General features: G+C 45.8%; 1 protein-coding gene across 3 annotated transcripts in view; it reads right to left on the bottom strand.

Annotated features, from left to right (window-relative positions):
* Positions 1-15,319, bottom strand: part of PLEKHD1 (pleckstrin homology and coiled-coil domain containing D1) — a 63,808-nt gene that overhangs the window by 17,329 nt on the left and 31,160 nt on the right. For 2 of the 3 annotated variants that reach the window (XM_017021290.1, NM_001161498.2), the window contains exons 2-6: positions 14,015-14,108; positions 13,557-13,646; positions 13,276-13,352; positions 12,398-12,489; positions 11,344-11,396 (exon numbers count right to left, since the gene is read on the bottom strand). In XM_017021290.1, the coding sequence (XP_016876779.1) occupies positions 11,344-11,396; positions 12,398-12,489; positions 13,276-13,352; positions 13,557-13,595 (261 nt within the window). In that variant the 5' untranslated portion in view covers positions 13,596-13,646; positions 14,015-14,108. Of the gene's footprint in view, positions 1-11,343; positions 11,397-12,397; positions 12,490-12,598; positions 12,667-13,275; positions 13,353-13,556; positions 13,647-14,014; positions 14,109-15,319 lie in introns of those variants that run through there. The other variant, XM_011536762.2, reaches the window with a different exon arrangement.

The following is a 15,319-nucleotide window of genomic DNA, read 5'->3' as shown; positions in this document are numbered from 1 at the left end:
CAACTGCAAAAGGTGCAAAATGTATAATGAGAATAATCAGAAGGACTAGAAGCAATATTTGAAGCAATGACTGAGAGTTTTCCCATATTAATGTCAGACATCAAACCACAGATCTAGGAAGCTAAGAGAACACCAAATGAATAAATGCCCTAAACAAACCATATCTAGAAATTTCATATTTAAACTTCAAAAAATCAAAGATGAGGAAAAATATCTTAAGAAGCCAGAAGAAGAAAAAATTACCTATTGAAGAAAGAAGATAAGAATTACATCTGGCTTCTCAGAAACCATGAAAGCAAGAAAAGAATGGAGTGAAATATTTAAAGTATTGAGAGAATAAAACACCAGCTTAGAATTCTGTACCCTATAAAATCATCCTTCAAAAGTGAAGGAGGAATACTTTCTCAGACAAACAAAAATAGAGGGAATTTGTTGCCAGTAGACCTGTCTTGCAAGAAATGTTAAAAGAAGTCCTCAGGGAGAAGGAAAATGATATAGGTCAGAAACTCATATCTACATAAGGAAAGGAAGAGCATTGGAGAGTGAATAAGTGTGTTAAAGCAAAATAAATATGGCCTGAGAAGGACTCCATACTTTTATATTTGAGTCCTTATGGATGAACTGTAACTTAGCTTAACAGACAAAATTGAAAACCTAATTTAATAGTATGCACCTGTAACAATAGCTGAGTGTTAGCCAATCCCAGCGGCCACACTTCAGCCACTCATAGACTGCTGAATGTCCAAACTGCGTTCAAATAAGGCAAACACCAAGCTGTAACCAATCTTGCTGCTTCTGTACCTCACTTCCGATTCCTATATGTCACTTTACCTTTTTTGTCTATAAATTTGTTCTGATCACAGGCACCCCTGGAGTCTCTGTCAATCTGCTGTGATTCTGAGGGCTGCCTGATTCGCGAATCTTTCATTTACTCCATTAAACTCTTTTTTATTTTATTTTATTTTATTTTATTTTATTATTTTATTTTATTTTATTTTATTTTTGAGATGGAGTCTTCCTCTGCCACCCAGGCTGGAGTACAGTGGTGCCATCTTGTCTCACTGCAACTTCCGCCTCCTGGGTTCAAGTGGTTCTCCCGCCTCAGCCTCCTGAGTAGCTAGGATTACAGGCATGCACCACCATGCCCAGGGTCTTGCTGTCATCCAGGCTGAAGTGCAGTGGTACAATCATAGCTCATTGTAACTCCTGGGTTCAAGTAATCCTCCTGCCTCAGCCTCCTGAGTGGCGAGGACTACAGGCATATGCCACTATCCCTGGTGAATTTTTTTCTTTTTTCTTTCTCTCTCTCTCTTTTTTTTTTTTCTTAGAGACTGGGCCTTGCTGTGTTGCCCAGGCTTGCCACAAACTCCTGGCCTCAAGCAATCCTCCTGCCTTGGCTTCCCAAAGTGCTGGGATTACAGGCATGCATCACTGTGCCCAGACCACAAATATAAAATAATAGAAATCATGTAATGTCTGCTCCTAAACCAAAGTGGAATTGTGCTAGAAATCAACAAAAGAAAGTTAACTGGAAAATCCACAAAATACTTGAAGATTAAAGAACACATTTCTAAATAACACATGTGTCAAAGAAGAAATATCAAGAGAAATCTAAAGATACTTTGAACTAAATGAAAATACAACTCATCAAAATTTGTGGAATGTAACAAAAGCAGTGCTTTGAGAGAAATGCATAGCATCAAATTAATATATTAGAAAAGAAGAAATATCTAAAATCAATAATCTAAGCTTCCACATTAGGAAACTAGAAAAAAAAAGAGAAAATTAAATCAAAGGTAAGCAGAAAAAAAGAAATAAAACAGAGCAGAAATCAATGAAATTGAAAACAGGAAATCAACACAGAAAATCAACAAAATCAAAAGCCAGTTCTTTGAAAAGATAAATAAAATTCATAAGACTCTAACTAGGCTAAATAAAAAGAAAGAAGACACAAATTATTAATATCAGAAATGAAAGAGGGAACATAACTACAGACACCACTGACATTAAAAGGATAATAAAGAACTATGATGAATAACTCTATGCCAATAAATTTGATAACTCAGATGAAATGGACCAACTCCTTGAAAGATACAATCTGTCAAAACTTACACAAGAAGAAACAGACAATTTGAATAGGCCTATATCTATTAAATAAATTGAATCAATAATTAATGCCCTTCCAAAACAGAAAGCACCAGGCCCAGAGGGGCTCAGTGATAAATTATATCAAACATTTAAGAAACTATACCAATTATCTACAATCTTTTTTTCTCAAGATAGAAGCCAAGGGAATATTTCCTAATCCATTCAATGAGGCTAGAATTACCTTACCAAAACCTAATAGAGACATTATAAGAAAACTACAGACTGGCCAGTCACAGTGGATCATACCTATAATCCTAGCACTTTGGGAGGCCGAGGCAGGCAGATCACTTGAGGCCAGGAGTTTGAGACCAGCCTGACCAACATGGTGAAACCATGTCTCTAATAAAAAATACAAAACTTAGCCAGGTATGGTGGCGCACACCTGTAATCCCAGCTACTTGGGAGACTAAGGCACGAGGATCCCTTGAACCTGGCAGGAGGAGGTTGCAGTGAGCTGAGATGGTGCCACTGCACTCCAGCCTGGGTGACAGAGCAAGACTCTGTCTCAAAAAAAGAAAAAAAAGAAAAGGAGAAAAAGAAAACTACAGACCAGTATCTTTCATGAACACAGATGCAAAAATTTTCAACAAAATATTAACAAATCAAATCCAACAATGGTCTGTGTGAGGTGGCTCATGCCTGTAAACCCAGCACTTTGGGAGGCGGAGGCAGGTGGATTATCTGAGGTCAGGAGGTTGAAACCAGCCTGACCAACGTGATGAAACTCCATCTCTACTAAAAATACAAAATTAGCAGGGCATGGTGGCACATACCTTTAATCCCAGCTACTTGGGAGGCTGAGGCAGGAGGATCGCTTGAACCCAGGAGGCAGAGGTAACAGTTAGCCAAGATCACACTACTGCAACTCTAGCCTGGACAACAAGACTGAAACTCTGTTTCAAAACAAACAAACAACAAACAAACAAACAAACAAAACAAAGAAAACCAAATCCAAACGAATAATACATCACAACTAAGTGGAATTTATTCCCAAGTATACAAGGCTGGTTCAATATTTGAAAATCAATTAATATAATCCATCACATCAACAGGCTAAAGAAGAGAAAAAGAATCACATGGAAAAAGCATTTGACAAAATCCAACACCAATTGATGATGAAAACTCTCAACAAACTAGTAATAGAGAGGAACTTCCTCAATGTGATAGAGAACATCTACAAACACCTACAGCTAACATCATACTAAATGGTGAGAAACTAGAAGCTTGCCTGATAAGATCAGAAAGGAAGAAGATGAGGATGTCCCTTCTCACCAGTGCTTCTCAACATTGTACTGGAATTCCTAACTAACACAATCAGACAAGAAAAGGAAATAGAAGGTATACAGATTACAAAGAAAGAAATAATACTGTCTCTGTTCACAGATGACATGATTGTCTATATAGAAAATCTGGAAGAATTGACCAAAAAAATTCCTGGAATTAATAAGCAATTGTAGCAAGATTGTAGGATACAAGATTAATGTACAAAGTCAATTATTTTCCTATATACTGGCAATAAAAAGGTGGAATTTGAGATTTTTTTTTTCTTTTGAAGATAGGGTCTTGCTCTGTCACCCAGCTGGAGTGCAGTGGAAATTTGAAATGTAACAACACATTACCATTGACATTAGCACCCTCCAAAATGAAATACTTAGGTATAAATCTAAAAATAATGTACAAAATCTATATGTAGAAAACTACAGAATGTAATAAAAGATATCAAAGAACTAAAATGAAGGGATAGTCCATGTTCATAAATAGGATGATTCAATATTTGCAAGATATCATTTCCCAACTTGATCTATAGATTCAATACAATCTCAATTAAAATCCCAGCATGTTGTTTTGTGGAAACTGACAAATTGATTCTAAAGTTTACATGGAGAGGCAAAACACCCATAATAGCCAACTCAATATTGAAGGAGAAAATTGGAAGACTGAGACTACCCAACTTTAAGACTTACTATAAAGCTACAGCAATCAAGACATTGTGGTATTGATGAAAAAATAAACAAATATATAAATAGAACAGAATAGAGAGCTCGGAAACATACTAACATAAATATAGTCAATTCAACTCTGACAATGGAGCAAAGGCAGTACAATAGTATTGGAAAAGCCAGTCTTTTTTTTTTTTGAGATGGAGTCTCACTCTGTAACCCAGGCTGGGGTGCAGTGGTGTGATCTTGGCTCACAGCAACCTCTGCCTCCTGGGTTCAAGTGATTCTCCTGCCTCAGTCTCCTGAGTAGCTGGGATTACAGGCGCCCGCCACCACGCCTGGCTAATTTTTGTATTTTTAGTAGAGGCAGGGTTTCACCATGTTGGCTAGGCTGGTTTCGAACTCCTGACCTCAGGTGATCCACCCGCCTCGACCTCCCAAAGTGCTGGGATTACAGGCATGAGCCACCGTGCGTGGCCTAAGATAGTCTTTTCAACATATGGTACTTGAACAACTGGACAGCCACATGCAAAAGAAAAAAAAAAGACTCTACACAGACCTTAAACACTTTTCACAAAAAATAAATCACAATGGATCATAGAGCTAAATGCAAAACACAAAAGTATACAACTCCTAGAAGATAACATAGGAGACAACCTAGGTGATGTCTACAAAAAGATTTTTATCAAGGTGATGAAAATCTACAGTACTGACTTTTTAAGACATAACACAAAAGGCATGATCTTTGAAGGAAGTAATTGATAAGATGGATTTCATTAAAATTAAAATTTTATTCCCTGTGAATGACATCAAGAGAATAAGAAAACAAGTCACAAACTAGGAGAAAACATTCCCAGACACATCTAATAAAGGACTGTTATGCAAAATATACAAAGAACTCATGAAGCTCAACAATAAAAAAATGGGCAAAAGACCCAGACATCTTAGCAAAGAAGATATAAAGATGGCAGGCCAGGCACAGTGGCTCACATCTGTAATCCCAGGATTTTGGGAGGCCAAAGTGGGAGGATCACTTGTGTTCAGGAATGCAAGACCAGCCTGGGCAACAGAGCAAGACCCCATCTCCATAAAATGTTGGGAGCCGAAAAGGCCAAAGGGATTGTGACCAACTCAGCATTCTACTGGCGGCTATATGATCAAACAGCAAACTGTTTATCATGAATGTAGAATGTGAGCAAACTTACACACCTGCCACCAAAAGGCTTACTGAGGGCCATCACTCCCTGGCGCTGGGCTCCTTGAAGTTACCTGTTGAGAATCTAGTGCCTATTGTTCAAAGAATGCAGTCTCACAAGCTTGCTGTGAATCAAACAGTCAACTGACAATTACCCGATAATCACCCCCACTTTCTCACTATCTCTTTTGCCTAATAAATATGGAGGGCTGTGTAAAGCTCAGGGCACTTGTCCGTGAGGTGCCCCAGACCCCTTCTTCCAAATATACTCTTTCGTCTCTTGTCTTTTAGTCCCATGTTTGCCCCCATTTGTTCAGTCCACCAGGGATTGTGGCAGGCAACAACAAAAAATAAAAAATTAGCCGTGCATGGTGGTGCATGCCTGTAGTCCCAGCTACTTGGGAGGCTGAGGCAGGTGGATCACTTTAGCCTGGGAGGCTACAGTTAACCGTGATCACGCCACTGCACTCAGCCTGGATGACAGTGTGGGACCCTGACTCAAAAATAGTTTTTTTGTTTTTGTTTTTTTTTTTTGAGATGGAGTCTTGCTCTGTCACCCAGGCTGTAGTGCTGTGGCACAATCTCGGCTCACTGTAACCTCTGCCTCCTGGGTTCAAGCAATTCTCCTGCCTCAGCCTCCCAAGTAGCTGGGATTATAGGCACACATCACCACCCCCGGCTAATTTTTGTATTTTAGTAGAGACAGCATTTCACCATGTTGGCCAGGCTGGTCTCGAACTCCTCATCTCATGATCCGCCTGCCTCAGCTTCCCAAAGTTCTAGGATTACAGGCGTGAGCCACCACGCCCGGCCTAAAAAAATAAATAAAAATTTTAAGATGGCATATAAGCATATAAAAGGATGTCCAACATCATATATGATTAGGTAATTGCAAATTAAAATAACAACGAGCTACCGCTAAACTCATGAAAGTGGCCAAAATCAGCCAGATACAGTGGCTATGCCTGTAATCCCAGCACTTTAGGAGGCCAAGAGGGGAGATCACTTGATCTCAGGAGTTCAACATAAGGAGACCCCATCTCTATAAAAATAATTTAAAAAAATTAGCCAAGTGTGCTGGAGTGCACCTATAGTCCCAGCTACTCAGGAGGCTGAGGTGAGAGGATCTCTTAAACCCAGGAATTCAAGGCTGCAGTGAGCCACACTCCACTGCACTCCAGTCTGGGCAACAGAGCAAGACTCTGTCTCAAAAACTAAAAATTGAAATAAAAAATAAAATAGCCAAAATTCAAATCCCTGACAACACCAAATGCTGGCAAGGATGTGGAGCAACAGGAACTCTCATTCATTGCTACTGCAAATACAAAATGGTACAGCTACTTTGGAAGACAGTTTGGCAACTTCTTACAAAACTGAACATATTTTCACCATGCAATCCAACAATCATACTCCTTATTACTTTTCCAAATAAACTGAAAATGTATGTCCACACAAAAACCTGCACATGGATGTTTATAGCAATTTTATTCATAATTGTCAAAACTTGGAGGCAACCAAGATGTCCTTAAGTAGGGAGAGGGATAAACAAACTGTAGGACATGCGGATAAGGTAATATCATTCAGCACTGAAAAGAAATGAGCTATCAAGCCACAAAAAGACACGGAGGAAACCTGAATGCACATTACTAAGTGAAAGAAGCCAATCTAAAAAAGCTACATACCATATGACTCCAGCTACATGACATTCTGGAAAAGGCAAAACTATGGATACAGTAAAAAGATCAGCAGTGGCTGGGCACGGTGGCTCATGCCTGTAATCCCAGCACTTTGGGAGGCCGAGGAGGGGGGATCATGAGGTCAGGAGTTCGAGGCCATCCTGGCTAACACGGTGAAGCCCCGTCTCTTCTAAAAATACAAAAATGGTGGCACGCGCCTGTATTCCCAGCTACTCAGGAGGCAGAGGCAGGAGAATCCCTTGAACCCAGGAGGCAGAGGTTGCAGTGAGCCGAGATCGCGCCACTGCACTCCAGCATGGGCAACAGGGCAAGATTCCGTCTTTAAAAAAAAAAAAAAAAAAAAAAAAAAAAGCAGTTGCCAGGATTTTTAGGACAGTGAAATGAGCATTTTTAGGGCAGTGAAACTATTGTGTATGATACTACAGTGGTAGATACATATTGTTATACGTTTGCCAAAATCCAGAGGATGTACAACACCAAGAGTGAACCCTAATGTATGCTATGAACTTTGGGTGACAGTGTGTCAATGTTGACTCATTGATTGTAACAAATGTATCACTGTGGTGCTGGATATTGACAGTGGGGAACCCTGTGGGGAACAAGTGTTATGTGGAAAATCTCTGTATTTGCTGCGTAGTTTTGCTGTGAATCTAAACTGCTCCAAAAAATAAAGTTTATTAAGGAAAGAGAAATTCTCACTTCCTTTCTCATTTCTTTTCCACTTTTCACTTCACCTGTATGTTTCTTAAAGGAAGCCAGTGTCCAAGTGTAGCCTGAGAATGCTGATAAGAGTGGAAGTTACCACTTATAAACCTGGAGCAGCCAGAACTTGCTGTTCCTGAAGCCCAGCATGGCTTGAGTGTTTGTAGCAGCCCCATTATAGACTGAGTTGTCTGCTAAGCCCTGCCACAATTCAAACCTTTCTCTACTATATCGTGTGTTCTGCTGAATCTTGGGTCTGACTTAAGTTGCAGGAGTATAAAGGTGAGAAAAAGTCACTAGAAGGCACACTTCAGCTCAATGAAAGGAAGAGCTTTCAAATAACTGAGAAATCATGCAAAGGACACCTCTGGAGGTAGTGAGTCATTCGTCACAGAACCAGGAACAATGTCCACCAAAAAGGTTGACAAAGAGCTTCAGTTGTAGTGGCACATTTTTTCCAACTCAAAGAGTCTGTACTCTGACTGTGAGCACTCCAGGTGGCAAGAACCTTGCCAGAAACCCTGCCCTACCCTGGGCATTTCTGATTTTTCTCCTGCACCTGCTCATGTGCATGGCTGAGCTCTCACAACTCAGTCAGAAGGGGAAAGGTAGGCAGGCTGCCCTCCTCCAGGGGTGAGAGGGATAAGGCCAGAGGGAGCCAAAGACCAGGAACCCAGGGAAGGGCATGGACTTCCGGCTCTGGGAAGATGAGTCAGGAGGGTTCCCCCTGCACGCTCTGCTCATTCCTCCAGAGTCCCAGGACTTTTCTGCTGCATGGAGGATGTCAGGACTGTACATCACACAGTGCACAAGGGCCTTTCCAGTTCACAAATCCCTTCCCCGCGTTCTACTTCATTGGGCCTCGCAGCAACCCTAGAAGTACGCAGCAGCCAGCATAACTCTAATCAGACATCCCAGATGGGGGGAAATTGAAGCTCAGAGAGGGTAACTGACATGCCCAACATCACACAGTCAGTGATAGAGTTAAGACTCCAATCCAGGTCTCCTGGTTCCATATCTTCAGTCTTTCTTTAGGCCATGTTGTCTCAAAGAGACCACAGCAATCAGCAGAAGAACCTTCATCTTATCACTAGGCCATTACATCAATTGCCTCAGCGGCTCAAGGCACACCCAGACAATCTCTGACCTGAGTGCAGATGGGAAAAGTGCAGGAGACAGGCAGACCCATCCTATGCATGAGAAAGTTAAGGAAGAAGAAACTTTGACTGAATGACTCAGTGGCAAAGACTAGAACCTGAGCTCTATTCCAGATCTAGAGCATGCAGCTGACAAAAAATGAGAACTGAGGCACAGTTCTCTCCATGCCCAGAACAGCCTTCATGGTGGGTACCAGCTGGGCCTGAGTCTCATTCACATTTTATACCAGAAAGCCAGGGAGTTCACAGCTGACAGGCCTCCCTCCTTCCCTGTGCTGTGGCATTAAGGGAGGCCTGTGTGCAGTGGGTCTCCGCTGTCCTAATTTCCTGGCTAAAGACCTAGATAGAGTGTCTAAATTTTCCTCCAGCCAACTGCTGCCCCAGATTTAGCCTCTCTGATGGATAAGTCTGTCTCTCTCCCTGCCAGTGGCTGTGTCTGCCACTCCATCCCATCCCTGGGCACCTGTTTTTAATTTGCTGACAATACAGAAGCCTTGCTTGAAATGTATAGAATTGTGTGCAGAAAATGCCAAAACCCTAACACAGGACCTAGAGGAGAGCCTGGAGACACAGAGGACCAACTCTGGTGATGGAAGAAGACTCATTGCCATTATAATGCCAGTCCTCAAATCCATGCCATCCAAATACAAATCCCCATTCTTTTTTTATTTTCTCTTTAATCAATGAAATGATTCTGAAGTCCAGCTGGAAGGATAAAATGAGCAAGAATAACCAATACAATTTTAGAAGAAGAAAAATGAGGGTGGATTGTCCTGTTGGATTAAAATTAAGATGTAAAGTTGTGAAAAATCAATCCCATTCATTTACTAATTCATTCCACAAACATTTACCAAGAACTCGTCTTGGGCCAGGAGCTGTGCCAGGCCCTGGGAATATTTGGGGTGCAAAGGGGACATGATGCTTTTTGATGATATGGCCTGTTTCAGAGCCCAGGGAGGGGTGGGTGGGAAAACTGAGGACTTCCTAAGAGTCAAGTTAGAGGTTCTGAGCCAAGGCTGATAGCCCCTGCCCTGTGACTTGCCTGGGAGAGGACAAGGACAAGTGACTAGGCAAAGAAAAGTGAACTAAATAAGGCCCTCCCTCTGCAGGCTGCTCTGGTCAAGCCACTCTGCTGCTTCAGGCCTCAGACAGTTCACTTGCAGCATGGGCCTATATTAATAATACGATCATAATGCTAACAAACACAGATATTCGTTAAGCATGTACTATGTGCCAAACACTTTATATGGAACATCTCACTAAATCATCACAACATCCCTAAGATGGATTCTATTATCATCTGCATTTTTCAGATAAGAAGATTTGGAGAAGTTAAATAACTTGCCTGAGGTCACAAAGCTAGAAGTATTGAAGGTCAAATACAAATACAGGCAGCCTGGCTCCAGAATCCACGGTACTACCCACTACCGCCCCCTGCCCTTAATATGTGGTAATGACTCCTCAGAACAGGCAAGGCCCAGTGCTTCGCTGAGATTTTTTTTTTTTTTTTTTTTTTTTTTGAGACGGAGTCTCGTTCTGTCGCCCAGGCTGAAATGCAATGGCACAATCTCAGCTCACTGCAGCCTCGGCCTCCCGGGTTCAAGCGATTCTCCTGCCTCAGCTGCCCGAAAAGCTGGGACTATAAGCACGCACTTCCATGCCCGGCTTATTTTTTTTTTTTTTTTTTTTTTTTGAGACGGAGTCTCGCTCTGTCGCCCAGGCTGGAGTGCAGTGGCGCGATCTCGGCTCACTGCAAGCTCCGCCTCCCGGGTTCACGCCATTCTCCTGCCTCAGCCTCCCGAGTAGCTGGGACTACAGGCGCCCGCTACCACGCCCGGCTTATTTTTGTATTTTTAGTAGAGACGGGGTTTCACCATGTTGGCCAGGCTGGTCTTGAATTCCCGACCTCAGGTGATCCACCCGCCTTGGCCTCCCACAGTGCTGGGATTACAGGCGTGAGCCACTGCGCCCAGCCTGCACTGAGATTCTAAATGAAGAAGAGGGCTTCGGTGGCTCCCCTCCTTCACACAAGGCAAGAGTCTCCTTTACCCTCCAGTCTGCCTCAAGCCAGTGCTTAGCCTGCTGTGGACTTTTGACATTCAGAGAATGAAGGAACTTCTGAGATCATCAAGCCCAATCACCCTCAGGTGCCAGATAGCCCTCTATGGATAACAGAGGGCATTATAGCTCCCGTGAACATCATTGACAAGCAGCTCATTACCAACTGATGCAGCTGATGACACTTTGGATGGCTCTTTCTCTAGAAGGTCATCACCCACCCTTTTCACTTTACTCCCAGGGGTTGGTAAGGAGAAAGACACTTCTTACCAACAAGTTACAGCAAGTCCCAAGCAAGCACTGTGATCCCATTTGGCCTCCCCGCCCTGCCCCATCTGATCTTCTAGCAAGTCCTCTGTGCACCCAGCTCCCCTGCATCATTCCCTAGTGCTAGAAACGTGAGCCATTACACCACGGCTGCTGAGAGCCCCTTGGTGTGCACCTACCTCTCTCTGCTCCCTCTGAAGGCAGAGTTCTTCGGTCTCTTCCATCAGTTTGTCTGCCAAAACAAGCACACACACACACATGCACACACAATCAGGAAAGTGCTCTGAGGTCCTGAGGGAGCTGGTGCCTGAGGTGGTCGCTGTCACCCCCAGCATCTCCCAAGGAAGGGGCCTGCAGCCCTGCCAGCCAGAGGGTGGGCCAGCTCCTGGTGATGGAAGCTGCCACCCTCCTTCCCCCATCATCATCCTGCTTTTTCTTTTCCTAGGGTTATGAGGGGCCTCATCCTTGGAAGTTCAAAGCAGTCTCTGCATCCCCCAGGCCTGCTGCACCTGGGCTAGTCCCACACCCACCTTCCACCTGCACTAATGTCTGGCTAGTAAGGAGGGCAGAACCTAGGAAGTTCTGAAGCAGGCATAGGGGAGCAAGTGCTGGGGCCCCAAGTGTCTAAGCAGGCAGAGGGGAGAGGGTCCCAGGCTGAAGGCAAACCCTCAGTCTCATCTTCTCTCCCAAACAGTGCATGTTTACCAACCTGTCAGGGGCACAAGGTCTGGAATGCTGTGGCAAGGTTTAAAATGGCCTGGGGCAAGGGTACTGGGGACAAGCCAGACCCTGGGGACCCAGGATAGGATAACAACATCAACTCCACTTATGGAGCCCTTACTGCATGTCTGGCTCAAGCACTTACAGACATTGTCTCATTTAACCCAATCCTCTAAAAGCTAGAGACTATTTTTAACTCGATTTTAAGGATGAGGAAATTGAGGCTTAGAGAGGCTGAGCTGCCTAAAGATATACACAGCTGAGATGGGTGACAAATGATGAAGCTGGATCCAGAGCCCAGGCTCTTAACCATCAGACGCTCCTGCCTTCAGTCATGTTGGCCAAAAGGATGCGTAGTGTACCAGGAAGCCCTCCAGGTGCCAAACTGGTCTCTGTTCCCTCATAGCCCCACCTGAGAGACCCTCATCCCTGCTGCATCCTTTACCAAGCCCCTGGCTATAGCCCCTGGTCCCCAAGTGCTGCTACCATTAGGGAACCACCCCTCCAGCCAACCTAAATACTCCTGCTTTTCCTTAGCCAACTGCAGCCCCTGGGCCTCCAGGCTTTTGATCATGGCTTCTCCCAGCTGGGCATTCTTCCAGGTCCTGGGGAGGGAGGGCAGATGGGACAGAGGAGAGAAGAGGAAGAAACAGAAAATCATTAAAACAGAAGGGTAGAGGGGAAAGAGAAGGCATACGTTTTGTACTCGCCCACCCTTTCTCCTCCAGAATCTCAACTTGCATTCACTCTGGCACCCATGGCTCTGGGCATGTCACCAGCACGGATCAGTTACAGTAGCTGGAGGCTGGCCCAGGCTGCAAAGTGGGCCACTGGGGGCTGGGCCAACAGCACTTTTAGAGCAGGGAGGAGATTGCTTCCTGGGTGGCTTTTTTACATTACTGAATGTCCGCTACCCAGTGCAAGGCCTGCCACAGAGCACACGGTCGGTGTTTTTGGAACTAAAAGCATGACCTAGCCTGACTAGGCAGGTGTCAGGACAGTGGTTTACATAAAAATGGACTGGGTTGGCAGGAGATTTCTGTGATCTTGACCCTAATTTACAAAGCACTAGCTCTAGTCCTTGCTAGAATTAATTATGGGCCTGGGGAGGTGAGATGGGTGTCAGGAGGCATCAAATACAACTCCCAAGAGTTGGAGACAAATGGTACCCACACCTGCCACCTGTGACCTAGACACTTTTCAAGCTCACTCAGGGGACCCCTCACAGATGCTCTAAAACCTGGCCTGTCTGCTCTCCCCTACCCTAGCCATCTCCCACAGCCCTGGCCCTGTGCCCACCAGGATCCCAGCAGAGAGGCAGGGAGTTCAGGGGCAGCCCCGCCCACCCCATCCTGGATCTGCAGGCTGCCCTCCTGGCTGTGAGCACTTACACCTTCCCAGACTCCTGCAGCATCTCCAGCCACTGGGTCTGCTCAAACTCCGACTCAGCAGCAAGCAAGATGTTCCCCTGCCAGGAAGAGGAGCCATGCGCATGCCTGAGAGGCAGCCACGCTGAGGGTGATGGAGGCCCAGCTCTGCCCTGTCACCCACCCCACATCCCTGGGTGCTGATGCCCCTCTCCCAGGCCAGGACATGGGATGTGTGTCCTGAAGAGGCCTGAGAGGCTGGTCTGCTCCTGCGGAGCCCAGGCTGAGGGAAGAGCTTTACTCACATGGAAGTCCTGGTGGGAGATCTTCATGGCATAGGGCATGCTAGGCTCTTCCTTGGGCTCCACCAGGCAGCCCCCCAGAGGGATGACGCCCTGAGGAAGAACCAGAACAGGCAGCCCCCACCCCACCCAACTGGGGTCACTCAGGGGTTCTGGGGGCCCCTGGACAAAGCCAGTTCCTGCCAAGTGCCCCAGGATGGAAGCTAGACCCTGGGGCCATGGGACAGAGGCCAGAACTGATGTTCAGAGAGAAGAGGAAGGGTTGGGGCAGGGTCTGGGGCACAGGAGAGTGAGGGTCCAGCCCAGGACAGGGGCAGGGGGTCTTTTGCCCCAAGAGGATTTGCTCTCCAGACTCTCTGCTAGGCCAGAGCAAGAGCGCAGTCCCCTCCCCTCACAAGATGCAAGCTCTGATGCCCGCACTGGGCCCTCCCCTGCTGTGGCCCTGGGAGGGGCCGCCTCACCTTAGGATGTATATTGAAGTATTTATTGGTTTCAAAGCTCTTTTTTTCGCTCTCAGAGTAGTAAAGCAGAAAGCTCTCTTTGATGATGAAAAACCTATAGTGGGCGGTGGGGAAGGAAAAGCAACCAGGAGAGAAGGGGTGAGGTTTCTTGGGACAACAAGAGCACCCTTGGGGGCCCTGGACTCACATGGGAGCCCACAGGGACACCAGCTCAGCCATCCTTACCAACTCAAGCTCCACACCCTCACAAAGGCCTCAGCTGGCCAGTGACGTCCCCACAGGCAGCTGGGCCCCTGCACAGGTGGCCAGCTGGAGCGGGAGCCCCACTACTGGCTTCCAGGTCTGGCTGCCTCTGTCCCGCTGAACCACCACCCTGGCTCAGCACAGCAGGAGAGCTGTGGTTCTTCCCCTTGGACACCTTCAGCCCCTTGAGCTCTCACCTCCAGCCACTTAGGGTCTCCTCTAGGAAAAGGAACGCAAGAAGATGCAAGATGCTAAGATGGGTCTTTGGCAAGTAACATGAAAGCTGGCAATCTGCAGCCCCGAGCACCCCAGTGTGACATTGGCATTCCGTTTGTCTCAGGCTGCTCCCCAGTCTCCTTCTTCCCTTTGTCTCGGGCTACTCCCCAGTCTCCTTCTGGGACTCAGGTCTAACTGAGGGCTCTGTGACTTTGGTGCTTTTTGACTGCTGGGGAGGCCACGTCCTTGAGGTCAACATGTGGAGCATTTGGACCTGCCCCAGGGGCTCTCCCAGGACTCATGTTTGGAGCTATGATGAGCCACCAAGCACCCTCTAGGGGAAGGTCCGATTGGCGCTCAAAGCCCAGAGATTCAGGGACACCCAGAGTGGCTGGCTCCTTCCTCCAGGGCCCCTGCTAATAAGTGCTGTTGTAGTGACGGGGTGTGAGCAGAATGTGGTGGCGATTCTGAAAGCTGGTGTGAGTGTGTGTGTGTGTGTGTGTGTGTGTGTGTGTGTGTGTGTGCACGTATGAGAGTTTAAAGTTTACATGCAGGGAGAGTTGGAGCCAGCTCAGATGGGCTCATAAGAGCCCACAATGTCAATCTCTTCCCTGCTCTGCATTTGGTCACATGGTGTTGGTAGCTCAATAGTGGCTGTGATGGGAGTATTTGCACCATGCAAGTCCAATCCTACAGAATTGCCTCAGCTCCCTCCCCCAAGAGCCTAGTGTAAGCATTTGCCAGCACGCCACTGGTCGAATGGGCCCTCTTGTGAGGGGCTTGAAAACTTGCCAGTGAGGCTGGGTTCTGTGGCTCACACCTGTAATCAATCCCAGCATTTTGGGA

The sequence above is a fragment of the Homo sapiens genome, chromosome 14, assembly GCF_000001405.40.
Source record: "Homo sapiens chromosome 14, GRCh38.p14 Primary Assembly".
In the NCBI taxonomy this organism is placed as follows: domain Eukaryota; kingdom Metazoa; phylum Chordata; class Mammalia; order Primates; family Hominidae; genus Homo; species Homo sapiens.
The sequence above is the reverse complement of the archived record's forward strand: the minus strand, read 5'-3'. Positions and strand labels throughout refer to the sequence as shown.